Source organism: Homo sapiens, chromosome 9, assembly GCF_000001405.40.
Source record: "Homo sapiens chromosome 9, GRCh38.p14 Primary Assembly".
Taxonomy (NCBI): domain Eukaryota; kingdom Metazoa; phylum Chordata; class Mammalia; order Primates; family Hominidae; genus Homo; species Homo sapiens.
Window position 1 is genome coordinate 130998538 of NC_000009.12, and position 25980 is coordinate 131024517.

Genomic DNA, 25980 nt, shown 5'->3' on the forward strand with positions numbered 1-25980 from the left:
GAGAGCTGGGAGGAGAAGCTGGGAAGGCAGAAGGCACGAGGTTGCTGGGAGACCTCCGCAAATGAGATCACCAGCCCAGGCAGGACGGTCCCTTCAAGGGCTGCTGCCAGGGCTGGGCGAGGTCAGTGAGCACCCAGTTGATGCCTCTTGAAGGAGCCCTCATCTCTAGCCCAGCCCCTAAAGGATCCGTCTTTGCCGGCCGCGGGGGTCTCATTCATTCCAGAAATGCTCCTGAACACCGCTCAGTGCAGGCCACGGGGACACCAGGCCGGGACACACGTGGTCCTTGTCCCCCAGGGGCTCACAACCTCCAGCCCCTGCAGACCCTCGCAGGACAAACTGCCACTGCCGAGAGGCCCACATCCTCTGGCCTCTGTGCCCTGCTCCAGCCTCACCCCACAGGACCAGCTCCCTACCCAACACTGCAAACACATGCCGACCTCCCCTGCTTGTGCACGCCTCTGGGCCTTTGCGCGTGCTCCTGCCTGGGACGCCCTTTCCTCTACTCATCCTTTACAGCTCAGCCTAAATGCTGCTTCTTCTGGGAAGCATCCTCCAGTTCCAGGCAGAACGAGCCACCCCACCCTCCTTGCACCCGTTCCAGGCACTGTCTTGTTGCATGTGTCTCGTTGCAGCGTCCAGACCTATGCATATCACGCCTCTGCCTCACTGACTGTGAGCCCAAGACAGGAGAAGTTCAACAGTGGGTAACAGTACGTTTGCCGAGGGACAAATGACCACAACTCAGTCTTATAAAACAGGTTCAAACGAGCCTTGGAATGTCATCTGGCTGTTCCCTTCTTTTCTTTAGTTAGAAAAAAGACTTTCTTTCTTTCATTCTTTTCCTTCCTTCCTTTCCTTTCTTTCTTTTTCTTTTCTTTCTTTCCTTTCTTTCTTCTTCCCTCCCTCTCCTTCTCCTCCTTCTTCTTTTCTTCTTTCTCTTTCTCTCTGTCTTTCTTTCCTTCCTTCCTTCTTTTCTTTTCTTTTTCTTCTTCTTCTTTTTTTTTTTTTTTTTTTTGAGACAGAATCTCACTCTGTTGCTCAGGCTGGAGTGCAGTGGCATGACCACAGCTCACTGGAGCCTCTACCTTCCAGGCTCAAGTGATCTTCCCACCTCAGCCTCCTCAGTAGCTAGGACTACAGGTGTGCACCACCATGCCTGGCTAATTTTTGTATTTTTTGTAGAGATAGGATTCCACTATGTTGCCCAGGCTGGTCTTGAACTCCTGGGCTCAAGCAGTCCACCAGCCTCGGCTTCCCAAAGTGTTGAGATTACAGGCATAAGCTACCACTTCTGGCCAATCAGACTATTTTTTAATGAACGCTTTTCCTCTCTAACCAGACCATGGGCTCATAGAGAGCAGGATCTTGTGGGAATTATAGCAATAACAATTTATGGAGCACTTACTCCATGCTGAGCTCTGAGCCAAGCACTTGCCATGTGCTTGTGTATATCCAACAGGAAGGATTGAACACAGGTCACTAAGTGCTCAGGAAATGGTTGGGAGGACTGGAGGGGCTGATACCTGGGACACCGCAGAACTGACCCACCAGGGAAGCTGCCACCACCTCTGAGGCTGCCACCGCTGTTGGCTCTGAAAACTCACAGCTGTGCCTGCAATCCAGGGGCTGGAAATAAGAGTCAGGAAGCACTGCTCCTGCTACCGCCACCACACAGAGACCTCTCAGCACACGCAGGACTGGAGAATGGGAAGCAGGTCAGGCTGAAAACCTCCCTTCTCTGTGACCTCACTTGCACCAGAAAAATCCACCAGAAGGGCAGAAGATGGCCTCTGCCCACTTCCATCTTCTAAATCTCAAGTGAAAATACCCGGCTGGCAGGACCTATTATTATTATTATTATTATTTAGACGGAGTTTCACTGTTGTTGCCCAGGCTGGAGTGCAATGGCGCGATCTCAGCTCGGCTTACCGCAACATCTGGCCCCCGGGTTCATGTGATTCTCCTGCCTCAGCCTCATGAGTAGCTGGGATTACAGCCACGTGCCACCACGCCTGGCTAATTTTGTATTTTTAGTAGAGACACGGTTTGTCCATGTTGGTCAGGCTGGTCTTGAACTCCTGACCTCAGGTGATCTGCCCGCCTCAACCTCCCAAAGTGCTGGGATTACAGGCATGAGCCGCCGCACCCGGCCTGGCAGGACCTATTCTACATACAGGGCCCTAGCAGCAAAGGCAGCCGGGAAGAGTAGCTCTTAGGGTGGCAAGCTTGGCATATCAGGGAGGCATCCAAGAAGGAGGGGAGACCAAGGCTTCACTACCCTCCACAGCCACACAGGAGGTGGAGATAGAATCTGAACCCAGGTCTGTTCCTGAACACCATGTGGCCAATGGCTTCTGTGTCGCACAGATTGAATTGAGAAGATGACCAATTAATTAATCCAGGCAGAGTCCTTGATTGAGAATTAGGGTGGCGGAGGCAGGGTCTGCTTTGCCATGGAGCCTGGGAGGAAGGATGCTGGCCTTCTTGTCACCATCATCTCCCCCTACATCATGGTCCTGAGCTCTGGAGGGTCCAGAACAAAGCTGGCCCCGTCCCACAGGTCCATCTGCATGCCCCTGCCACCAATCTTGCTACATGGTCCATCTGCATGTCCCTGCCACCAATCTTGCTACATGGGTTGCTAAGCCACTTGCCACTGTCCACGAGTTTCTGTGCATCGTTCTCAGGTGTACAAACACTGCCCATTGGGACCACTATCCCCAGGGCCACCCCAGATTTGGCTGGAAGGGCAGTGGCAGTCCATTCTGGTCCCATAACTGCACACTGAACTGACTTACCTGGGAGCCAGGCTGGGATTTTTTCTTCCTCCACCAGCTGGTCATAGGGAACACCTTCCTCCCAGGCTATAGGTATGAGCCAAGGAGGAAGCATCAGAGCTGGGGGGCAACATGGGGGCTGTGCCACCGGTTCATGAACTCCCTCACACTATGGACGACCCGTCCCTGACCCTGGACCTACCGTTCCCATTTCATGAAGGCTGGCTGTTGGGTCTGCATCCTTGACTTCGTGGGTCCGACTCCACCCAGCTCTTGATGGCAGTACCCGCCATGTGGTCCGTTGATTTCCTTTGATCATCACTCAGCCTGTACAAAAGCCCGGTCTTGTAGACCAGGATCTGCCTTTTGAGTGGCATAGAACCCTCTGCGGGGCTGGCATGCCTTGCTCCAGAACCCCGGGGCTCACGATAATTATGGTTCTTTCCCAGCATGGATTCCACCAGCACCACGGGGCCCGCTGGCACACATGCCTAAGAGGCAGGGCTGTTCATGAATGGCCTGGAGCTGCTGCCCAGCCCTTTCCTACTCTGGGCACATACAAAGCGAGTAGCCTCACCTGTTCCCTGAGAAGTGGGTCCGAGAAGTGTTCCTACATGAAGAATATGCTGCTTCTAGGACCTGAAGAGGCCCACCAAGCATTGTGCATCTCGCTGATAGAGACAGCGTGACTTTTACTTTGGAGGGTGCGATGGTTCATTTTACCTGTTCACCTGAGAGGCCACGCCACCCAGATATTTGGCCAAACATGATTCAAGATGTTTCTGTGGAGGTATTTCTTAGATCAGATTAATGTCTAAATCAGAACACTTTGAGGGAAGCGAAGGCATAAAGTTGGTGGGCCTCCTCTAATCGGTTGAAGACTTAGTAGGAAAAAGACTGAGCTCCCTGAGGAAAAGGGAATTCTGCCAGCAGGCGGTACAGGAGCTTCAGCTCTTTCCCGGGTCTCCAGCCTGCTGGCCTATCCTGCAGATTTGGGACTTGTTGACTTCCATAATCATGTAAGCCAATTCCTTAAAATAAATCTCTCTCTCAATTTCTTTATTTATTTTTACTTATTTATTTATTTTTTTGAGACAGAGAGTCTTGCTCTGTCACCCAGGCTGGAGTGCAGTGCCACAATACAGGCTCACTACAACCTCCACCTCCTGGCTTCAAACGATTCTCCTGCCTCAGCCTCCCTAGTAGCTGGGATTACAGGCATGTGCCACCACGCCCAGCTACTTTTTGTATTTTTAGTAGAGACAGGGTTTCACCATGTTGGCCAGGCTGGTCTCAAACTCCCGACCTCAAGTGATCCACCTGCTTCGGCCTCCCAAAGTGCTGGGATTACAGGTGTGAGCCACAACGCCTGGCCCTCCCTCAATTTATTTTAAGTTATTAATTAATTCTTCTCTCCCCATATATACATATATATATACACACACACGTATATATTCTCTTTTTCTCTCTCTCTCTTTCTCTCTCTCTATATATATGTAAACATAGCCACACATCATTTGATGATGGGGATGTATTCTAAGAAATGTGTCGGCAAGTGATTCTGTCATTGTGTGAACATCAGAGAACATACACAAACCTAGATGGTACAGCCTACTGCATACCTAGGCTATATGGTGTAGTCTATTGTTCCTAGGCTACAAACCTCTACAGAATGGCACTGTGCTGAATACTGCAGGCAATTTTAGCACAATGATAAGTATTTGTGCCTCTAAATATAGAAAAGCTACAGTAAAAATATGTGGGCTGGGCATGGTAGCTCACACCTGTAATCCCAGCGCTTTGGGAGGCTCAAGTGAGTGGATCACTTGAGGTCAGGAGTTTGAGACCAGCCTGGCCAACACAGTGAAACCCCATCTCGGCCGGGCACGGTGGCTTACGCCTGTAATCCCAGCACTTTGGGAGGCCGAGGTGGGCAGATCACAAGGTCAGGAGATCGAGACCATCCTGGCTAACACGATGAAACCCCGTCTCTACTAAAAAAAAAAATACAAAAAGTTAGCCGGGCGTGGTGGCGGGCGCCTGTAGTCCCAGCTACTCGGGAGGCTGAGGCAGGAGAACGGCATGAACCCAGGAGGTGGAGCTTGCAGTGAGCCGAGATCGTGCCACTGCACTCCAGCCTGGGCGACAGAGCAAGACTCTGTCTCAAAAAAAGGAAACTCCATCTCTACCAAAAATACACAATTTAGCTGGATGTGATGGCGCCTTTAGTCCCAGCTACTCAGGAGGCTAAGGTGGGAGAATCACTTGAACCTGGGAGGCAGAGGCTGCAGTGAGCCGAGATCATGCCACTGCACTCCAGCCTGGGCAACAGAGTGAGACTCTATCTCAAAAAAATATGTATATGCTATAAAAGATTAAAAATGGTATACCCATATAGGGCACTTACCATAAATGGAGCTTGCAGGACTGGAAGTTGCTCTGGGGAGTCAGTGAGCGAGTGGTGAGCGAATGTGAAGGCCTAGGATGTTACTGTACACTACTGTAGACTTTATGAACATTGTACACTTAAGCTACATTAAATTTATTTAAAAATATAAGGTATTCGTGCTACGATATTATGATGGCTATGACATCACTGGACAATAGGAATTTTTCAGCTCCATTGTAATCTTAGGTGGTCCATCACTGAACAAAATGTCATTATGTAGCATATGACTATATATATAAAGTTAGCACTATTAGCCAATCCCTGCAAACTTCTTTGGGGGATAATCCTGCTGCATCCTTAGCAGGCTCAGAACTTCCCCAGTCAGGCCATGCTGGACTTTTCCCTAGTTGCTGGACCTCTGGCCAAGAGGGGAGGTGGGCAAGGACCATCTTATAGGAGAAGGGCGAGGATGGCCTTATAGACACCTGCCTCATTTGAGGCTCCTGCAAACTCTTCAAGCAGTGGTGGGGTGGTGGGCACTATCTTCTAGAAAAGCGGAGTGGATCCCTTCTTCAGGCCCAGAGTGTTAAAGGAATCTAGAGATTCAGGGTTCTCAGTGAATCTGTCCAGATACCCACCCTAAGTCTCAAGGTCCCACTTCTTCCCTATCCGGACCCTGATTGTGATTCAGGATGCTTTCCAGGGATGGGAAATCAATCTCCTCTGGAGTCCAGTGCAACTTACAATCAGATCCTGAGCCTAGTTTTCAGCTCGGTCTGCCCCGTGTGGTTTGTTTGTTTGTTCGTTTGTTTGTTTTTTGAGATGGAGTCTCACTGTGTCACCCAGGCGGGAGTACAGTGGCGCCATCTTGGCTCACGGCAGCCTCTGCCTCCCGGGTTCAAGTGATTCTAGTGCCTCAGCCTCTGGAGTAGCTGAAACTATAGGTGCAAGCGCCAGGCCCGGCTAATTATTATATTTTTAGTTAGAGACAGGGATTCATATGTTGGCCAAGCCGGTCTCAAACTCCTGATCTCAAGTGATCCACCTGACTGGGCCTCCCAAAGTGCTGGGATTACAGGCGTGAGCCACCATGCCCCACCAGGTCTTTTTTTTTTTTTTTCTAATTGTTGCCAACAAGGGCCTCTGGCTTTCTAAATTTGTTTTGGATTGGTCCAAGATCACCCTGACCTGGTCATTTTCCCTCTTCAAGGTATCAGTGACATTCAGCAAGGGCCACCCAATCCCACAGTCTCTATAATCACTATTCCCTACTCTCAAGCACCAGAGATTGGATGAACCATCGTCTCCTTCCACCTGTACCTTGGTCAAGTTCACTGTAGGTGAAAGTCTTATTGCTTGTACTGTTACTGCATGCTGCGAACTACAAATACTTCACCTAGCTGTAGTGATACCAGCCGGGTGTTACTGTAAAAAGTAAAGTAGAGGTTCCTCTTCAAAGAGACTCTCCTCCCCATCTAATTAAGAATAAATGGTAACTTCTCTCAGAAGCAAAATTTATTCAAAGACCTGTGCTAACATTCTTAAATATCTGCTAGCCGTAATAAAGAAATCAATGTACTTTATGTTCTTAGCTCCCACAATTTAGCCTAAATATTTGCCCTGGCATGCTTATACTGGTCCAAGCAGGCATTAGGTCATAACCTATTCCTCTTCCTTACTTAGAAGTGTTTTTACCTTTCTCAGCACTCCACAAATTTCTTCCTCCTTCCTTTGTTCTCCTCCACCTTTGCCTCTTTTAAAAAGTTCTAAGTTGCTAGCCAATCAGGACAAATACAGAATGTGAAGTCCCGTTCCAGCCAATGGAAACTGGACACAGCAGTAAAGTAGACGTGTCAGGTTATAAATGACCCTGTCTCCTTTGTTCAGTGTACTCTAGTGGCAAAACTGCTGGCGAGTGTACCCTTTCTGCACAAAGTAAAAATAGCCTTGCTGAAGAAATTAAATTTATGTTCAAGTGGTATTTCTTTATGGCACCGAGGAACAAGCATTTCTAACATTATCATGGACACTTTATGACTTTCCTGGACCCTGGGCAGTTTTGCCTTAGCGGGCTCCTTTATTTATTAAAAAATATTAAAAATTCTATTTTACCGAGGGGAGAAGGTTATAGAGAGTTATTGTTTAAGAGGACAGAGTTTCAGTTTTGCAAGATAAAAAGTTCTGGAGGCCGTGTGCAGTGGCCCACGTCTGTAATCTCAGCACTTTGGGAGGCTGAGGCAGGAGGATCACTTGAGGTCAGGAGTTCGAGACCAGCCTGGCCAACATAGTGAAACCCAGTCTCTAAAATAAAAAAATTAGCTGGGCATGGTGGCAGGTGCCTGTAATCCCAGCTACCAGGGAGGCTGAGGCAGGAGAATTGCCTGAACCTGGGAGGCAGAGGTTGCAGTGAGCCAAGATGGCGCCACTGCACTCTAGCTTAGGTGACAGAGCAAGACTCCATCTCAAAAAAAAAAAAAAAAAGGTCTGGAGATGGATGGTGGTGATGGTTGCACAACAATGTGAATGTGCTTAATATTATTTAATTGTAACTTAAAAGTGGTTAAGATCGTAAATTTTATAAATATGTTATATGTATTTTACCACAATTATAATTTTTTTTTTTTTTTTTGAGACAGGGCCTCCCTCTGTCACCCAGGCTGGAGTGCAGTGGCGTGATCTTGGCTCACTGCAACCTTCGCCCCCTGGGCTCAAGCAATTCTCCCACCTCAGCCTCCCAAGCAGCTGGGACCACAGGTGTATGCCACCATGCCCGGGTAATTTTTTGTATTTTTAGTAGAGACGAGGTCTCACCATGTTGCCCAGCCTGGCCTCAAACTCCTGAGCTCCAGCGATCTACCCGCCTTAGCCTCCCAATGTGCTGGGATCACAGGTATGAGCCACCGTGCCTGGCACTAACATTTTTAAAAATTATATTTAACCATTGCATTGATCTAAAGACGGGTATATTAATATCATACGTTAAAACATGTTCTTCAGCCTAAAAGTTCTTTTTTTTCTTCTGACTTTAAAGATATTAGAACAGTTTTTGTGGGTTCCTAGAATTCCTGTGGGCTGCCATGTTTCCTGTGCCTGATAGATGAATTTGCTTTGGATGGGTGCACAGCCCAGCTCAGGGTAGCTGCGTGGACCATCAAGAGTCTGCTGCAATCATGTTCTTGACCATAAGAGAAAACTTTAACAAAGAAGCTTCCATAACACCATCAAAAAAACAATTTGGAATTACATTAAATGATATTTTAACTTGGGGAGAATTTGTATATTTAAACAGTTGGAAATCCGTGAATATAGATGCTGGTCTCTTCAGGTTTTCTGTCTCTCAGTAGCATTTTATAATTTGATTCATTTATATCTTGCACATTTCATACCAGATTTATTATTAGGTGTTCTACCATTTCCTACATCATTGCTGGCATCAGTTTTTTGTTTGTTTTGTTTTGTTTTTGTTTTGTTTTTTAAAAAACAGGGTCTTGCTCTATTGCATAGGCTGGAGTGCATTTGCGTGACCTCGGCTCACTGCAACCTCTGTCTCCTGAATTCAAGCGATTCTTGTGCCTCAGCCTTCCAAGTAGCTGGGATTACAGGTGTGCCACAATGCCTGGCTAATTTTTGTATTTTTAGTGGAGATGGGGTTTCACCATATTGCCCAGGCTGGTCTCGAACTCATGACCTCAGGTGATCTGCCTGCCTCAGCCTCCCAAAGTGCTGGGATTACAGGCGTGAGCCACCGCACCCAGCCAGAAAATGCCTATTGCTGGCATTGGTTTTCGTACTCTATCCTGTAGTCAGCCATCTTACGGAGCTCTTATTAATTTTAATAGTCTTAGTAGAATCTTTTAGATTTTCTAGATGTATGTTCAGGTAAGTAGAAGATATAAATATTTATATCTTTTAAGTTTTTTGTCTTATTGTATTAGCTAGAACTTCCAAAATAACCTTAGGTACCAGTGGTGATATCATATACTAACTCTACTTAGATATAGTTCTGAAATCTCTAACTTATTCCATGGGTCTATTCTGTAGTCCTTTCCACAACCGTATTGTTTTAATCATGTGTAAATAACTGGTAGTGAATCAGCCCACTACAGTTCATCTTGCTTCCAAAAATTTTCTTTCTTTCTTTTCTTTCTTTTTTTTTTTTTTGATGGAGTTTCTCTCTTGTTGCCCAGGCTGGAGTGCAATGGCATGATCTCAGTTCACTGCAACTTCTGCCCCCCGGGTTCAAACAATTCTCCTGCCTCAGCCTCCTGAGTAGCTGGGATTACAGGCACGCACCGCCACACCCAGCTAATTTTTGTGTTTTTAGTAGAGACGGGGTTTCACTATGTTGGCCAGGCTGGTCTCGAACTCCTGACCTCAGGTGATCTGCCTTCCTCAACTTCCCAAAATGCTGGGATTATAGGCGAGAGCCACCGCGCCAGGCCAGGAAATTTATTTCTATTTTCCTTAGAGTTCGTCTGGGAATGGCTGCCTTTTTTTTTTTTTTTTTTTCGAGACAGGGTCTGACTCTGTTGGCCAGGCTGGAGTGCAATGGCATGATCACAGCCCACTGCAGCCTAACCTCCCGGGCTCAAGGGATCCTTCCACCTCAGCCTCCCAGGTAGCTGGGACTACAGGCTTGTGCCATGACGCCGGGCTAATTTTTGTATTTTTTTGTAGAGATAGGGTCTCACTATTTTGCCCAGGTTGGTCTCGAACTCCTGGCCTCAAGTTATCCTTCCGCCTCCACCTCCCAAAGTGCTAGGATTACAGGCGTGAGCCACCGCGCACGACCTGGCTGCTAAATTTTATCGAATGACTTCTCTCCCTCGATTTGCTAATGTTAATAAATGGGGAGTAAAGGGGGCATTTATGGGGGTTGGGGCAGAAGACAAGGAAGCCCTCTCTGAGGTGACATTTGTGATAAGACCAGGTACCCTTGTCACAAATGTCAGGTTAGAATCTCTTTGCTGTGGGGACAGAGCGCAGCCGGCAGCAGGAGTGCTTTTCAGGGTTAAGGGCGACAGGAGCTATGCGGAGCCATCTCACAACCCTGTCCAGGGCACACTTTATTGCTAGGAGGAGATGCGCAAACGGTAGCGATCAGTTAGAGATAGATCCTCTTGTCCCCTTTTATCTCAGGACTCCAAGGCACTGCTGAACAGTTTCTGTTTAATGAGCAGCCATTGAAGCCTCCCAATGGCGAGAATGAGCCTGCATCTTTACCGACCCCACTCCACAGACGAGGAAACTGAGGCTCAAAGAGGCCCGGGTCGCCTCTGGGGCAGACTCCCGAGCCGCGCACTGCCGGGCACGTCCAGCAGGTGGGAGTGGGCGCCCGGGGACGGCGCGGTCCCTGGTATTTTTAGTGGGGTGGGGCCGCCGCCGCCCGCCCCTCCCTCCAGCCTCCCCGCCCCGCAGGGGAAGGCGGGTCCTGGCGGCCAGCGCGCGGTCCGCGCCCACCCTAGCCGAGCGGGGCCGGCAGAGCGCGCGGCGTCGGTGCCCTTGACCATGGCGGCGGCTGCGCTTCTGCTGGGGCTGGCGCTGCTGGCACCGCGGGCGGCCGGCGCGGGCATGGGCGCGTGCTATGACGGCGCAGGGCGCCCGCAGCGCTGCCTGCCGGTGTTCGAGAACGCGGCGTTTGGGCGGCTCGCCCAGGCCTCGCACACGTGCGGCAGCCCGCCCGAGGACTTCTGTCCCCACGTGGGCGCCGCGGGCGCGGGGGCTCATTGCCAGCGCTGCGACGCCGCCGACCCCCAGCGCCACCACAACGCCTCCTACCTCACCGACTTCCACAGCCAGGACGAGAGCACCTGGTGGCAGAGCCCGTCCATGGCCTTCGGCGTGCAGTACCCCACCTCGGTCAACATCACCCTCCGCCTAGGTAAGCGCGGGCTGGGGGCACCGCCACCGCACCCCGTGTCCCCACTCCACTGGGGGTCTGAGGCTGAGGCCTGAGCTGCTGTGCGCCCAGGTTGGGCTGCAGGACCCAGATATGGTGTTGGATGGAGGGGCTCAGAAATAGGAATTAGGCTGGGTGCGGTGGCTCACTCCTGAAATCCCAGCACTTTGGGAGGCCGAGATGGGAGGGTCGCTTGAGCCCAGGAGTTCAAGATCAGCCTGGGCAACGTAGTGAGATCCCATCTTTACAAAAAATAAAGAAAAATAGGCCGGGCGCGGTGGCTGACGTCTGTAATCCCAGCACTTTGGGAGGCCGAGGCGGGCGGATCACCTGAGGTCAGGAGTTCGAGACCAGCCTGGCCAACATGGTGAAAACCCGTCTCTACTAAAAATAGAAAATTTGGCCGGGCGTGGTGGTAGGTGCCTGTAGTTCCAGCTACTCAGGAGGCTGGGGCAGGAGAATCGCTTGAACCCGGGAGGTGGAGGTTGCCGTGAGCCGAGGTCGCACCACCGTTCTCCAGCCTGGGCAACAGAGCTAACTCCGTCTCAAAAAAAAAAAAAAAAAAAAAAAAAAGCTGGGCGTGGTGGTGCACACCTATGGTCCCAGCTACTCAAGAGGCTGAGGCAGGAGGATCACTTAAGACTGAGAGGTTGAGGCTGCATGAAATATGATAGTGCCACTGTGCTACAGCCTGGGCTACAGAGTGAGACCTTATCTCTTAATAAAAAGAAAGAATGAAAAAAAGAAGAAAAAAAAACAGGACCTGTACCCCTAGATAGCCAGAAGGATAGACTGAGGGGTGCCCCGTGGGGCGGGAGAGGCAGGGAGTCACTTGCTGAGCTTTGGTTCTAGGTTGCAATTATAATCCCCTGTAATGGTTTTCCATCCTAGACCAGAACTGTTGGGGAGGTGACACACCAAGGACTGAATTGGTCACCCTCTAGGGCAGGGGCTCCTGATCTTGGGTCTTCTGGTCAACTTCAGGTATTCAGTGGACCCCTGAAGCTGCCTGCAGTCCTCGGGTGGGTTCTGGAAGATAGAAGCTGTGATGTTCATCACTGCACAGGCAAAGTTTAACCCTCTGGGGAGGAGGACTAAGTTTCTTCGTGCTGCTGGGCAGCTGCGCCCGGTGGCATGGCCTCTCTGCCCTGCTCATGACTTGCCGAGGTGCAGAAGCCCTTAGATCTCCAGGAATCAGAATCTGGAGTCTGGACCCAGCCCCGGTTCTCAGCCCCTGCCCCCACTGCAGGGAGCTGGAATGCTCTCTCCTCCCTCCGTGTTCAGCCCGATTCCCATGTCCTCTGTGGCCGGGTAAGCGCCAAGTGTCTTTCCTGTTGCAGCCTCCACTGCCCTTTCAGGAGGGGCTGGTATCACTGGTTAGACTCCCTTATCTTCGAGGTCAGCCTCCCAAAGCTTTGAAAACTCAAATTATTTTTATAACTCATTTTTGCTGCTAAACCTGACCTGAGGCTATTTATAAGCTATGTTTATGCTAGTGAGAATGAATATTCATTCGCTTTGCTACTGAAATCTCATTTGAGTACAGCCGGCAGCCCCAGACCCCACTGGGGGTATTAGCACAATATATGGTATAAGGCCTGCATCGTCTTTCTAAAAGCTGAAAAATGTTCAATTCCCAAACACATTTGGAGCCTAGGAGTTTGGATTAGGGATGATGGGACTGTATCCCATGTTTCAGCTGAGAAAATTGAGGCTCAGAGAGGTTGTTTTGCCCAAAGGCACAGAGCTGCTAAGTGAGCATCTGAGCGTGGACATCCATGGACATCAGAGGTCAGAGCATAAACTCTTTGATGTGAGTTCCGCCACCCATCAACTGAGTCAGCTCCACCTCAGCCTGGTGACAGTGTCCTGGGGAGGGCTGGGAAGTGACATTGGAGTGGGGTGCGGGGAGGACCGTGAGCCCGCTCTGCAGAGCACACAGGTACTGGCTGCCACCTCAGAAACTCCCTTCTTCTGGGGCCACGTCACCTTCTCTCAGCCTATCTGGATCACTAGGTGGGGCTTCTGAATGGGACGAGGGGGAGGGGACAGGAAGCCAGTGGGGAGGGGGGAGGCTGGGGGAGCTGTCTGGATGGAGCTGGCAGGACCCCAAGGCCACAGGGGAAGGAATCTGGGACAGGGTGGGGAGTTGTTGGGGAGACACAGTGCTCCATGACAAAGGGTATCACATGTGTCCTGGGAACCCAGGGGCCAAGGAAAGAGCTCAGCCCAGGCACAAACAAGGTGGGAGGAAGTTGGGAGAAATGGCCAAGTTTTTGGATTTGAGGTAGTTCCTGTTTACTGTGCATCTACTGTGTGCCAGGCCCTGTGCTGAGCTGTGCACCCTCGTGGAACTCTGCCTAGAACCTTAGAAGCAGAGTGGTTCTGATCCTTCTAAAAGCAAGGAACCTGAGAGCCTCCACACTGTGAATGTAGAGAGCGAACACACACACACATACACACACACACACACACACACACACACACTCCCTGCTGTGTCTTATCCCGGTGAGCATTCTTCCTGTTTTGTCGCCGAAAACCAGGCATATAGGAGAGAGTCCACAAGTGTGAGTGACAGGGTCACCTCCTCTGTCCTGTGCTCTGGGGCCAGCTCAGCATTCTCTTTTGCCTGCTCTGGGAGGCAGAATAGGATAGAAATCACGAAAGGAGGCTTTGGACTTAGGCCCAGCAGAGCCACTCACTGGGCAAGCGGAGTCCCCTCTCTCAGCCTCAGTTTCCTTACCTGTACCGTACGGATAAGAGTCGCCACTTCCTGAGCAGCTGTTCGGGTTCATGAGCCCGGGTCGGAGCCATGGCAGTCCCTGTGTGTGACCAGCGTGGCTGCTGAGACAGCTCAGGGCTGAGGCTCCCTTGCGGGGATTGAGAAATGCTCGTCCCGGCCGCCCTGCCTCCTCAAAGACATCCTGACGCTGGTCTCTGTTTACGCACAAGGGGCGCCGGGGGCCCAGCGCAGCCCCAGATTTGGCCTCTTTTTGGTTTCCTATGACTTAGGTTTGCTCCAGGCTAAGCCATGGCTTGCATAATAGCGGGGGAAGGAGAGGCCTGGGATTGTCGGTGTCCCCTGTGGAGGCCGTCTGATGACCTCTCCTCCTGGTCCTTAGGCCACCTCTGCTGGCTCTGTCCCCCCACTGCTCCCTCTCCTTGAAGGCTCATGGGAAGGGAGAGTGGGCGGCCAGCTCTGGCCCGGGGTCTCCTAGAGGGAATGGGGTGAGGGGCAGGGAAGGAGATGGAGGTCGCCGCATTCCCAGCCCCCCGTGGCTCCTGGACATCTGTTCCGGATCCTCCCGTCATCTCTGAGCTGAGCCTTCCTGTCTGGGATGAAAGGCAGCAGTGGGCTCTGGCAGCCCCAGCCCACCACCAAGGCCCAGGGAGGCCACGGGGCTGGGGCCTGGGAGTCAGTGGGGTGTTGGGGGAGTGGACAGTGACGGGGGTACAGACCATTCCGGGGCTCTCACCGTGTACCAAGGACTCGCCCAGGCGGCATCCCAAACCGGCATGCTTTGTTCTTTTACAGACAGCAAAACTGAGGCACTGAGGGTGAGATCAGTTGCTTGGGGTCGCACAACTCAATAAATGGTGGCCCCCGGGACCCTCCCCCTAACTGCTGTACTTGGGAATGAAGAGGGTCCAGGCTAGGCTGGTCCACATGCTTGAAGCCTCGGTCCTGGGAGGAACAGTATGGGCTGTGGCTTTCGGTGGGCTGGGGGAGTCTCCTCCCGGCTTGCACTTGGATCGCTGAGAATCTCCTGGAACCACAAAAAGACCTGAGTCCCCCAAGCAGATGAGTTCTGCCCTCCCTCCCCCGCAGGTCCCGGATGTCCCTGCATGGAGTTGACTTCTTCTTGCTTTCATTTAGCCGTTTGCTTGGTGGTCACCCAGCCTTGGCTCACTGGCCACAGGATGCAGCTGTGAACAGGGCCATGTGCGGCCCCTGTCCTGAGGGGCTCAGGGCCCACCAGAAGGCAGCCTTTACTGAGCAGTGCTGAGAACGAGGATGTATGCTCAGAACATGCACTGGTGCGCACGAGCCTCATCTCTAGGGTCAGGAAGGGTCTCGCTGAGACCTGAAGGATGGTAGGAGCTGACCAAAGAGGGAAGGATGTTCTTCGACCTGCCGGGCCTGGATGGCCTGAGTGCAGACACCGAGAAGACGCTGGGGTCTGGCCAGCCACAGCGAGGAGCCGGGTCCCAGGGTGCTGGACATTAGGGGGACCCTGTGGCCCCTGAGGGGTCCTGGAGCCAGCTGGGTCTCCTGAGCCTTGGCTCCGTTCTGTCTTCCTGTCGAGTGGGCGGCTGCGATTGCCTTGGCCTGGGCCAGTGCTGGGGGCCAAGTCCTCCCTCCTGCTCCCTGGGGGTTCTGGCTGGAACGCTGGGCCCTGAGCAGGGCAGGAGGTCAAGGCAGCGGCTGGTTAGCCTCCATCCACCCACAGAACTGCCCTCCAGGCCCCTGGGCCCAGCTGGCCTTGGCCACCTCTTTCTCTCTGGGCCTCCCAGGACTAATCCAGGAGATGCAGGGCTAGGAAGTGGCAAAGCCCAGGATGGGTGTAGCCAGCCTCCCATGGCCTCTGCATCATCCCTGTCCACTTCCCACACTGCCCTTCAGCAAGGCCTTGGCTGGGCCGAGGCACTCTCTCTCCTCCAGCGCCTTACATGTGCTGTGGCTTCGGCCCAGCGCACTTCTCCTCCCACCTTCAGCCTAACTCATGTCTTGTTCATCCACAAAACCATTGCATGTCTGCCGATCCCTGTGCTGAGCCCTGGGGATGTCTGTCTGCCCCACTCAGCTTAGAGGTGCCTCCTCTGGAAAACCCCTCACCCCTCTAAGGTTGGGCAGAAGGCCTGCCCACGCATCCTTGCAGCCCCTAATCCTCCTTCCACCAGAGTCTGGATTACACTGCGTGAGGGCTTGGTCTGTTTACGTCCATCCCTATCTCTGGGCTGCCAGAGGGAATGCCTGTTTTCACACCTGTGCCCCAGTAGTGCCCAGCCTGCATTTGCCCACTGCACAGGGTGCTGGGTAAAGGTTGGTCAGGCGAATGAATGGAAGAGCAGCTCAAATTTCATTGAGGCTGGGTGAGGCTCACACCTGTAACCCCAGCACTTTGGGAGGCAGAGACGGGAAGATCACTTGAACCAGAAGTTCAGGGTCAGCCTGGACAACAAAGTGAGACCCTGTCTTTACAAAAATAAAAATAGAAATGAAAAAATTAGCCGGGCGCGGGGGCAAGTGCCTGTAGTCCCAGCTACTTGGAAGGCTGAGGTGGGAGGATCGCTGGAGCCTGGGAGTTCGAGGCTGTAGTGATCACACCACTGCACTCCAGCCTGGGCAACAGAGCGAGACCCTGTCTCAGAAAAAAGAAAAATGTAGTTGAACAAATGCTTCGTGCCTGGGACTGTTCCAAGTGCTTCCAAGGCATTTGCTCATTTAGCCCTGTTATTGTTATGCCTATTTTGCAAATGGGGAAACCAAGGCACTACATTGCACAGTCACTTGCCCAGTGAACCCGAGGGAGTTCAGCTATTTTGCCCAAGGCCACAGAGCCAGGAATTGGTGGGGCTGGGCTGTGAACCCCAGGGTTGCAAGATTGCACTGTGTTTCCTCGCTCAGAGCAAGGGAGTGAGGAATTCATGGATGAAGGGCCCCCAGCCTTGCAGGTGCCTCCCGTACTCCTAAGCCACGGTGTTCACAGCAGTGCCGCCGTCCTCCCAGCCCAACCCTGCCCTGCCCTGCTCTCCCTTGCCCAGGCTTCAGCTGCTTGGTCTACCTCCCTTCCCTGTGGCCCCTTGTCCCCGGGCAAGCCCTCCCAGCAGCCATGCCCTTCCCCAGCTCATGCCCTGGCTTTGCTTATTTGAATCATAGTCGACATCCAGGACTCCACCTGCACCCCTCGCCCTGACTCGGTCTCCACCTGAGCCCTCGACTGGGTAATTTGAGCAGCCGCCTTGACACCAACCACTCTGAATGTCATGCAAGGGCCCCCGTGTGCAAAGGCTATGCAAGGGCCCCTGTGTGCATAGCAGCATTTTCTTTTCTTTTTTATTTTTTTGAGACGGAGACTCGCTCCACCGCCCAGGCTGGAGTGCAATGGTGCGATCTCAGCTCACTGCAACCTCCACCTCCCAGGTTCAAGCGATTCTCCTGCTTCAGCCTCCCAAGTAGCTGAGATTACAGGTTCCTGCCACCACACCCAGCTAATTTTTTGTATTTTTTTGTAGTTACGGGGTTTCACCATGTTGGCCAGACTGGTCTCGAACTCCTGACCTCAGGTGATCTGCCCTCCTCTGTCTCCCAAAGTGCTGGGAATACAGGCGTGAGCCACGGCACCTGACCCATAACAGCATTTCCACAATAGCCAAAGGCAAGGCAGCCTAAGTGTCCACCGAGGGGTGAATGATGAGCAAGAGCAAATGTGGTCCATCCATCCAGTAGAATATTACTCAGCCCTGAAAAAGGAGATTCTCACACAGCCACAGTATAGACGAACCCTGAGGACATTATGCTAAGGGAAAGAAGCCAGCCAAAAAAGAACAAATACTGTAGGGTTCCGCTGATATGAGAGGCACCCTGGGATAGTCAAGTCCACAGAGACAGAAGGTAGAATGCTGGTTGCCAGGGGCTGGGGGAGGGGCAATGGAGAGTGACTGTTTCATGGGGACAGAGTTTCAGTTTGGGAAGATGAAAGAGTTCTGGAGATGGATGGTGGTGAAGGTTGCACAACAATGTGAGCTGTGCAAATGGGTAAGATGGTAAATGTCATGTTATACATATTTCACCACAATAAAAGAAGGTTTGGGGAAAAGTACATGTCAGCCCCGTGGGAAGGCAGCTTGGCAACATGGTTGAAGACCCACAAGAATATTCCTGGCCTTTGGCAAAGGAATCCTACTTCTGGGAATTCAAATAAGGGAAGGGTCCTAATGCATGAAAACATTCATCGAGGCGTTCTTTATAGTAGGGAAAAATGGGAACCATAAGGGACTAGTTAAGTAAATTGTAGGACATAAATTCTCATGGTGATTGGAGCCATTCAGTGCAACAGCTGACAAAGGGTTTGTAATACACAGGGAGCGCTTAAGTCAAAATGTTGAATGAAGAAAAAGACACAAGTTGGTATATGTGGAATCATCAGATTTATATTTTAAAATCCCTAAAGAGTAGGCAAAAAAAGAAAGACATCAAACTGGTAAGCGTGTTTGTCCTCAGGACTTGCAGTGACTTTTCTTCCATTTTCCGTGTTTCTACATTTTCCCAGTATTCTCTCATGAAGCTTGTTCTAATTTAAAAACTGGAGAAAACACATTTCTACGATTTTTTTTTTAAAAAGCACCCGCCTTGCTATGTTCTGTTTTAAGATGTTTTTCAAAGTTCTGGTGCAGCACAGCTTGGCACCGTAACTCCCAACCCCTTAAAAGAAAGCGTGCGGAGCAAACAGGGTCCGGATCTGGGGGCGGCCTGGTGTCTGCGCCTGTTTGGAGCAGAGGCTTCGGGCCTTGGAACGAGGTGGGGGGCTGGCCCAGATGTGTATTCGCTAAAGGATGCTGTGCGCGGGCTGCTGCGGGTCACCGGCGCAGACTCCTTGGTAAACATCTAGCAGCCAGACACCTCTCGGGAGGGGAGCTTGGAGCCACTTGAAAGGTAGCTGGCAGCTAGAAGCGTGATCGGAAAAAGGCAGTCACTGGGAGTTCATGCAAACGAGCGGCCTCACGCGATAGGAAACATCCCGGCTTTTCTGTCCTTGCCAAACCAGGAGGTGAGAGAAGATGCAGCAATATCACAGAGACATGGCAGGGACTTTTTGTTACAAGAGTTAATTAGAGGCCGGGTGCGGTCCTTACGCCTGTAATCCCAGCACTTTGGGAGGCCGAGGCCGGCGGATCACTTGAGGTCATGAGTTCGAGACCAGCCTAGCCAACATGGTGAAACCCTTTCTCTATTAAAAAAAAAAAAAATTAACCAAGCGTTGTGTTGGGCGCCTGTAATCCCAGCTACTTGGGAGGCTGAGGCAGGAGAATCGCTTGAACCGGAGGCAGAGGTTGCAGTGAGCCGAGATCGGGCCATTGCACTGCAGCCTGGATGACAGCAAGACTGTCTCAAAAAAAAAAAAAAAAAAAAAAAAGGCCAGGTGCAGTAGTTCACACCTGTAATCCCAGCACTTTGGGAGGCTGAGGCGGGCGGATCACCTTCGGTCAAGAGTTCGAGACCAGCCTGGCCAACATGGCAAAACCCCGTCTCTACTAAAAATACAAAAATTAGCCAGGTGTGGTGGCGTGTGCCTGTAATCCCAGCTACCCAGGAGTCTGAGGCAGGAGAACCACTGGAACCCGGGAGGCAGAGGCTGCAGTGAACCGAGATCGCACCACTGCACTCCAGCCTGGGCGACAGAGCAAGACTCCATCTCAAAAAATAAATAAATACATAAATAAAAGAAAGCAGCTTAATCCCTCCTTTGTGATGAAAAAGTTTCTTCCAAAGGCAACAAAAAGGTTGGGAAAGGAGTGGCCCCAAGATCTTTTTTTTTTTTTTTCTTGAGTTGGAGTCTCACTCTAGCCCAAGCTGGAGTGAAGTGGCATGATCTCGGCTCACTGCAACCTCTGCCTCCTACGTTCGAGCGATTCTCATGCCTCAGCCTCCCGTGTAGCTGGGATTACAGGTGCATGCCACCATGCCCGGCTAATTTTTTGTATTTTAGTAGAAACGAGGTTTCACCATGTTGCCCAGGGTGGTCTCGAACTCCTGAGCTCAGGTGATCCCCCTGCCTCGGCCTCCCAAAGTGCTGGGATTACAGGTGTGAGCCACTGCGCCCGGCCCCCAAGATCTTTTAAACAGCGACGAGAATTAAAATCTGCAGCCCTAGCCCAGACCCTCACAAGCTCCAGGGGCCAATGAGGCTTCTGGGTGATTGAGACAGCTGTGTTCCTATCAGGAAAGCCGAGCCAAGATGTCATCCTTGACTGTTAGCTGGTGGTGACACTGCTTGGGAGTACTTGGCTTCCCTCACCTCCAGGCCGCCCAATATGCTGTTCTCTCTGTCTAGAATTCTGTTCCCTCTGCTCTCCTCGCCTGTCTAGCTCCCATGCACCCCTGCTCATCCCACCCGCTTACTGGACCACATGCCCCAAACTTACTTCTCACCACCTCCTCCCTCTCCATGCTCCTGCCAGCCTGAACTACAGGCTTCACCACAAGGTGGCCACAGCTTTGCCAACATCCTGCCTGGTGTGGAATGCACCTTCTCCTCACCTTCCCTGGCTAATGGCTGCTCATCCTTGGAACCATAGGTTTGAGCGCCTTGTTGATGCTCCCACAGCCTCCCTGGGCTACTTTGTCCTGTTCTATAAAGACCTGCCTGTCTCATCTGGGCACGGTGGCTCACGCCTCTAATCCCAGCACTTTGGGAGGCCGAGGCAGGCAAATCACTTGAGGTCAGGAGTTTGAGACTAGCCTGGCCTACATGGTGAAATCCCATCTCTACAGAAATACAAAAATTAGCCAGGCTTGGTGGTGCACGCTTGTAATCCCTGCTACTCAGGAGGCTGAGGCAGGAGAATGGCTTGAATCCAGGGGACGGAGGTTGAAGTGAGCCAAGATCACGCCACTGCACTCCAGCCTAGGCAACAGAGTGAGACTTTGTCTCAAAACAAACAAACAAACAAACAAAAACAAGACCTGCCTCTCTCTCCCTACCTGTAACCTCCCCTTGGGGCAGGTGCCATGAATCCTTATAGCTGAGCATGGCACCTAGCACACAAGAGGTGCCCAATAAATGCTTGCCCGATGAATGAGTAGACTCGAGGCAGGATTTGTACCTTCAAGGAGTTTATAATCCAGTGAGAGAGTGGAGACAGCAGGCAGTCCTGACAGTGTGGATCACATTGTCCCAAGTGTGCCTGGAAGTCATGATCCCTGGATGAGTCTCTGTTTCACACTAGCCAGCATTTAGTGAGCACCTGCTATGTGCCACGTGCTTTGCCAAGTACTTTACTCACACTGTATGGCTGAGATCCCCAAACACTTCATTTACTAGTGAGGAGTCAGGCTCAGGGAGCAGAAGGACTTCCTCAGTGTCATGCCCAAAGTCACTGCTCAAAACCTGGGTGCCCTCCTACTCAGGAGTCCATGGAGCCCCAGAGAGAAGGGGCTGCCTAGGAAGGGGGTGAAGGGGGTGCTGGTGCCCATGGAGACATGGAGGTCCCACCCGCCCCCCTCCCAGTCTTCACCTGCTGGCTGAGCCAGCAGCTGGGCACAGCAGAGCCTCCCCCGGCCGGGCCCCGCACCGCCCACGCCAAACAGCAGGAGCGCCAAGCTGTGTCCTCTCCAGCCAGCTGGAACATAAAGCCCATCAAGAATGACACCGGGACAGTCATAAAATCAAGCTGGCCCACATCCGGCACTGACCAAGCAGAATGAGCTCAGTACGAAGAGGCTTATTTTGGGAAAATGGAAACAAAACAAAGCCCTATAATTGGAGCCATCTGGGCAGCAGTGGCCTAGGGAGTGGGGCGGGAGGGGCTAGGGTGGAAAGCTGGGCTGGGAATGCATGGGTGAGGCTGCCCTGCCCACCTCGAGCATCAGAACCAGGTGGGTGAGCTGCTCCCAGCCTACAGGGGAGTCACACCCAGCAGGGTCCCTTAGCCCCATCTGGCCACCCACTGTTCTTGTTCTTCCTCTCCCAGCCAAGCTCTTGGCACTTCTGGGTGTGGTGACTCCCTATAAGGAGCTGGGGACTCCCCATGGCCATAATGCCAGATACCACAAGACCCTGGCTGAACCAGGGATAGGCTCCATCACAGCCCTCCCATCTTGGCACTAAGTCTAAGCCCCAAATATGAATCAAGATTGCCAAGTCTAAAAAAACAAAAAGATTGCCAAGTTCTCCTCTAACCTGGGGAGACCAAACAGTTTTCCTTGGATTGAGTGTTGCCTAGGGCTTTGTGTTAAGAAGGATTCTGAGGTACAGTCTGAGCCAAAACATGACTGAGACATGACTGCATGTTTGCAAAGAGAGGTGGCAGGGCATTCCAGACCATTGCATAAGTCAGGGAACAGACGAGGGGCTGAGAGAATGACAGAGAGGAGGGCTAACACAAGGAATTCCAGAGAATGAGCTAGTGATCTGGTGAATACTGAGGTCACTTGCGAGAAGGAGGTGATTCACCAGCTTCTTGTTTTGGTGCATAGAGAGACTAGGGGAGGAAGGAGGGTGCCTTTATTTTTCCCCCCCAAATACATGTAACACAAACGTGGAGTCTGGCTTTCGGTTCTTTTGGGTATATCCCCAGAAGTGGAAGTGCTGGATCATATGGCAATTCTATTCTTAGGTTTTTTGATGTTTTTTTTTCTCCCCAGAGTCTCTGGCTTCTTTTAATTAGTTTTAACCTTTAAGCTTTTGTAAGCGTAATCAACCAGCTGAGGATGGTAGGGGATATTTCCCAACACTTCTCGTGTAAACTCAAATTGTAGGTTCTTGCTTGGAGTAACACAGGCTCTTCACTGCTTACAAGGTTATTCTTGAGTTGCAAAAATTCTCTCTCCGTAGTTTTTCCTGGATTCCTCTATTCAATCTCGGCTGCCACAGAAAGCAGAAAGCAGTCAGAGAGAAAGCACAGGGACGCTGTTTTTGCATCTGTAGTGGAAACCTTAGCAGACAGTAACTGCTCTGGGGCTGTCAAATAGATGCATTGTTTTTAGTTTTTTCGGGAACCACCAGTTTCCCATAGCGTATGCACCATTTCACATTCCCACCCACAGTGCATGAGGGTTCCAGTTTCTCCATATCCTTGCCAACACTTGTTATCTTCTGTTTTTTTGATAATAGCCATCCTAATGGATGTGAGGTCCAATAATACATATATATAACTGTGTAGGGAAAAACTCCTCAAACTGTGTTTTTCCTCTGCTCTCAGACGACAGCCATCATCAACACAGAAGACTTCTGTGACCAAATGCGTGGGTTTTTCCCCCACCCAACAAGCAGCGGTACCAGCTGGGTGTCCTCTAATTCAGTTCCAACACGATCTAGTCAGAGATAGCATCCGGTCCCACAGGTTGAGGGCTCAGTCCCCAAGGCTGTCTTCCGCCACACACACCAGTCACAAGTCTAGGCCTCACGAACTTCTGACAGATTAGCTTCAAGTTCCCATGACCCCTTCTTTGGGTTCAATCAATTCACTGGAGCAGCTCACAGAACTCAGGGTAACACATTGACTGGTTTATTATAAAGAATATTGCAAAGGACACAGATGAAGAGATGAGCAGGGTGAGGAACGGTGAAGGGACGGGAGCTTCCATGCCCTCCCTGGGTGCCACCCTCCAGGAACCTCCCCGTGTTCAGCCATCCAGAAGCTCCCTGAACCCTGTCCTCAGGTTTTCATGGACGCTTCATGCATCAGCATTGCTTCCCTTGGGCGTAGGGTGGGACCCTCTCTTGGAGGGTCTTAAGACCCACGGTCAGAAAGGTGGGGGAACTTTAGAGTGAAAGGAGGGCAGGAGAAGGCAGAGGCCTGCCCCTGAGGCCCAACACACCCAAAATTCTAATGAAAGACCGTAAGGAGGGCTATGGGAGTCATAAGCCAGGAGCTGTGGATGAAAACACACACACACACACACACACACACACATATATATGTATTTTTTTAATAGAGAGACATGGTCTCACTATGTTGCCCAGGCTGGTCTCAAACCCCTAGGCTCAAGTGATCCTCCCACCTTGGCCTCCCAAAGTGCTAGGATTACAGGTGTGAGCCACCACGGCCAGCCCGAAAACTGACAGCTATCATAACACCACAATAACATACATAGTATATATAACAGCTTTAGGAGATACAATTCACATACCGTATAATTTACCCATTTAAACTATACAATCCAGTGGTTTTTAGTATATACACACAGTTGTGCAGCCATCACCACAATCAATTTTAGAATATATTTATTTATTTATTTATTTATTTTGAGACAGGGTCTCACTCTGTTGCACAGGCTGGAGTGCAGTGGCACGATCACAGCTCACTGTGGCCTCTACCTCCTGAGCTCAAGCCATCCTCCCACCTCAGCCTCTCAGGTAGCTGGGATATGCAAGCCACCACGCCCAGCTAATTTTTTAATTTGTTCTTATTTATTTATTTATTTTTTGTAGAGAGAGGATCTTGCTATGTTACCCAGGCTGGTCTCAAACTCCTGGGCTCAAGCGATCCTCCAGCCTCAGCCTCCCAAAGTGCTGGGATGACAGGTGTGAGCCACTAAGCCCGGCTTGGAACACCTTTATTACCCTGTACCTATTAGCAGTCACTTTCTGTTTTCCCCCAGTCCCCATCCTGAACCCCTATCCTGTGACAACCACCTGTCTCCTTCCTGTCTCTGTGGATTTGCCTATTCTGGACATTTACGTGGAATCCCATAAGATGTGGTCTTTGGTGATTTTAGCTTCTGCCACTTAACGTTCTCGTGGTTCATTCTTGTGGTTGCGTGTGTCAGCACTTCATTTCTTCTTGTAGCCCAATCATATTCCATCATATGATATATGCCACGTTTTATTGATTCATTCATCAGTTGCTGGGCATTGGAGTTGTTCCCACTCTTTGGCTGTTGCAAAGAAAGCTGCTGTGAACATCCATATGTACGTTTTGCGTGGATGTATATGTTTTCATTTCTCTTGGGTATATGCTGAGGAGTGGAATTGCTAGGTCCTGTGATAACCCTGTGTCTAACATTTTGAGGAACTGCTAGGCGCTGTTTTCCAAAGTGGCCGCCCCATTTTACATTCCCATCAGCAGTCTATGAGGGTTCCAATCCCCCAACTTCCTCACCAACATTTGTTATTACCTCTGTTCATGCTACCCAGCCTTGAGGGTGTGAAGGAAATCTCATTCTGGTTTTATCTTGCATTTCCCTGCTGGCCAATGATGTGGAGCATTTTTTCTTGTGTTTCTTGGCCATTCATATATCCACTTTGCAGAAATGTCTATTCAAAACCTTTGCCATTTTTGTTTTTTCTTTTTTGAGATAGAGTCTCACTCGGTTGCCCAGGTTGGAGTGCAGTGGCGTGATCATGGCTCACTGTAGCCTCTAATTCCTAGGCTCAAGGGATCCTCCCACCTCAGCCTCCCAAGCAGCTTGGAGGCACGGGCCACCATGCTCAGCTCATTTTTTATATTTTTTGTAGAGATGAGGTTTCGTCATGTTGCCCTGGCTAGTTGTGAACTCCTGCGCTCAAGCAATCTACTCCTCCTTTGTCAGTTTTTAATTGGGTTGTCTTTTTGAGTTGTAAGAATTCTTTATATATTCTGGATAAGTCTCTTATCAGATATATGATTTGCAACTATTTTCTCCCACTCTGTGGGTTGCCTTTTCATTTTCTCAGTGGTGTTCCTTGAAGGACAGAAGTTTTGGTTTTGATTAAGTCCAGTTTATGTATTTTTTCTTTTGTTACCTGTGCTTTTCGTGTCATTTCTAAGAAGGCTCTTCTAGTGCAAAGTCCCAAATATTATTTACTCCTCTGTTTTCTTCTAAGAAAGAAGTTTTAGCTTTTTTTTTTTTTTTTAGACAGTCTTGCTCTGTCACCCAGGCTGGAGTGCAATGGCACCATCTCAGCTCACTGCAAACTCCACCTCTTGGGTTCAAGCAATTCTCCTGCCTCAGCCTCCCGAGTAGCTGGGATTACAGGCGCCCACCACCACACCTGGCTAATTTTTTTATTTTTAGTAGAGACAGGGATTCACCATGTTGGTCAGGCTGGTCTCGAACTCCTGACCTCAGGTGATCCACCCGCTTCGGCCTCCCAAAGTGCTAGGATTACAGGCATGAGCCACCGCACCCAGCCTTTTAGCTCTTACCTAGAGCCAAGATGTTTCAGCAGACGACTAGGGTGGCTTGTCCTCGGCACCTAAGGAAG

The 25980-nt window shown here is 50.9% G+C and overlaps 1 protein-coding gene and 1 pseudogene across 3 annotated transcripts in view, besides 6 other annotated features; one reads left to right on the forward strand and one right to left on the reverse strand.

Moving 5' to 3' along the window:
• Positions 15-64: an enhancer, noted in NCBI's record as "active region_29169". NCBI's record gives its function as "activates an Ori minimal core promoter by ATAC-STARR-seq in GM12878 lymphoblastoid cells {active_cell/tissue: GM12878}" and the evidence as "EXISTENCE:reporter gene assay evidence [ECO:0000049][PMID:35858748]".
• Positions 10637-25980, forward strand: part of LAMC3 (laminin subunit gamma 3) — an 85300-nt gene continuing 69956 nt past the window's right edge. For all 3 annotated transcript variants that reach the window (XM_011518121.2, NM_006059.4, XM_006716921.3), the window contains exon 1: positions 10637-11050. In XM_011518121.2, coding sequence (XP_011516423.1) covers positions 10678-11050 — 373 coding nt within the window. In that variant the 5' untranslated portion in view covers positions 10637-10677. The remainder of the gene's footprint in view (positions 11051-25980) is intronic.
• Positions 13696-14264: an enhancer, noted in NCBI's record as "H3K4me1 hESC enhancer chr9:133887620-133888188 (GRCh37/hg19 assembly coordinates)". NCBI's record gives its function as "activates a minimal SCP1, AML or CMV promoter by ChIP-STARR-seq in naive H9 embryonic stem cells {active_cell/tissue: H9 hESC(naive)}" and the evidence as "EXISTENCE:reporter gene assay evidence [ECO:0000049][PMID:30033119]".
• Positions 14265-14832: an enhancer, noted in NCBI's record as "H3K4me1 hESC enhancer chr9:133888189-133888756 (GRCh37/hg19 assembly coordinates)". NCBI's record gives its function as "activates a minimal SCP1, AML or CMV promoter by ChIP-STARR-seq in naive H9 embryonic stem cells {active_cell/tissue: H9 hESC(naive)}" and the evidence as "EXISTENCE:reporter gene assay evidence [ECO:0000049][PMID:30033119]".
• Positions 14833-15400: an enhancer, noted in NCBI's record as "H3K4me1 hESC enhancer chr9:133888757-133889324 (GRCh37/hg19 assembly coordinates)". NCBI's record gives its function as "activates a minimal SCP1, AML or CMV promoter by ChIP-STARR-seq in primed H9 embryonic stem cells {active_cell/tissue: H9 hESC(primed)}" and the evidence as "EXISTENCE:reporter gene assay evidence [ECO:0000049][PMID:30033119]".
• Positions 18094-18665: an enhancer, noted in NCBI's record as "H3K4me1 hESC enhancer chr9:133892018-133892589 (GRCh37/hg19 assembly coordinates)". NCBI's record gives its function as "activates a minimal SCP1, AML or CMV promoter by ChIP-STARR-seq in naive H9 embryonic stem cells {active_cell/tissue: H9 hESC(naive)}" and the evidence as "EXISTENCE:reporter gene assay evidence [ECO:0000049][PMID:30033119]".
• Positions 20509-20696: a silencer, noted in NCBI's record as "fragment chr9:133894433-133894620 (GRCh37/hg19 assembly coordinates)". NCBI's record gives its function as "represses an EF-1alpha promoter that drives an FKBP-Casp9 reporter gene in an ReSE screen in K562 erythroleukemia cells {active_cell/tissue: K562}" and the evidence as "EXISTENCE:reporter gene assay evidence [ECO:0000049][PMID:32094911]".
• Positions 22631-22769, reverse strand: LOC124900284 (uncharacterized; annotated as a pseudogene).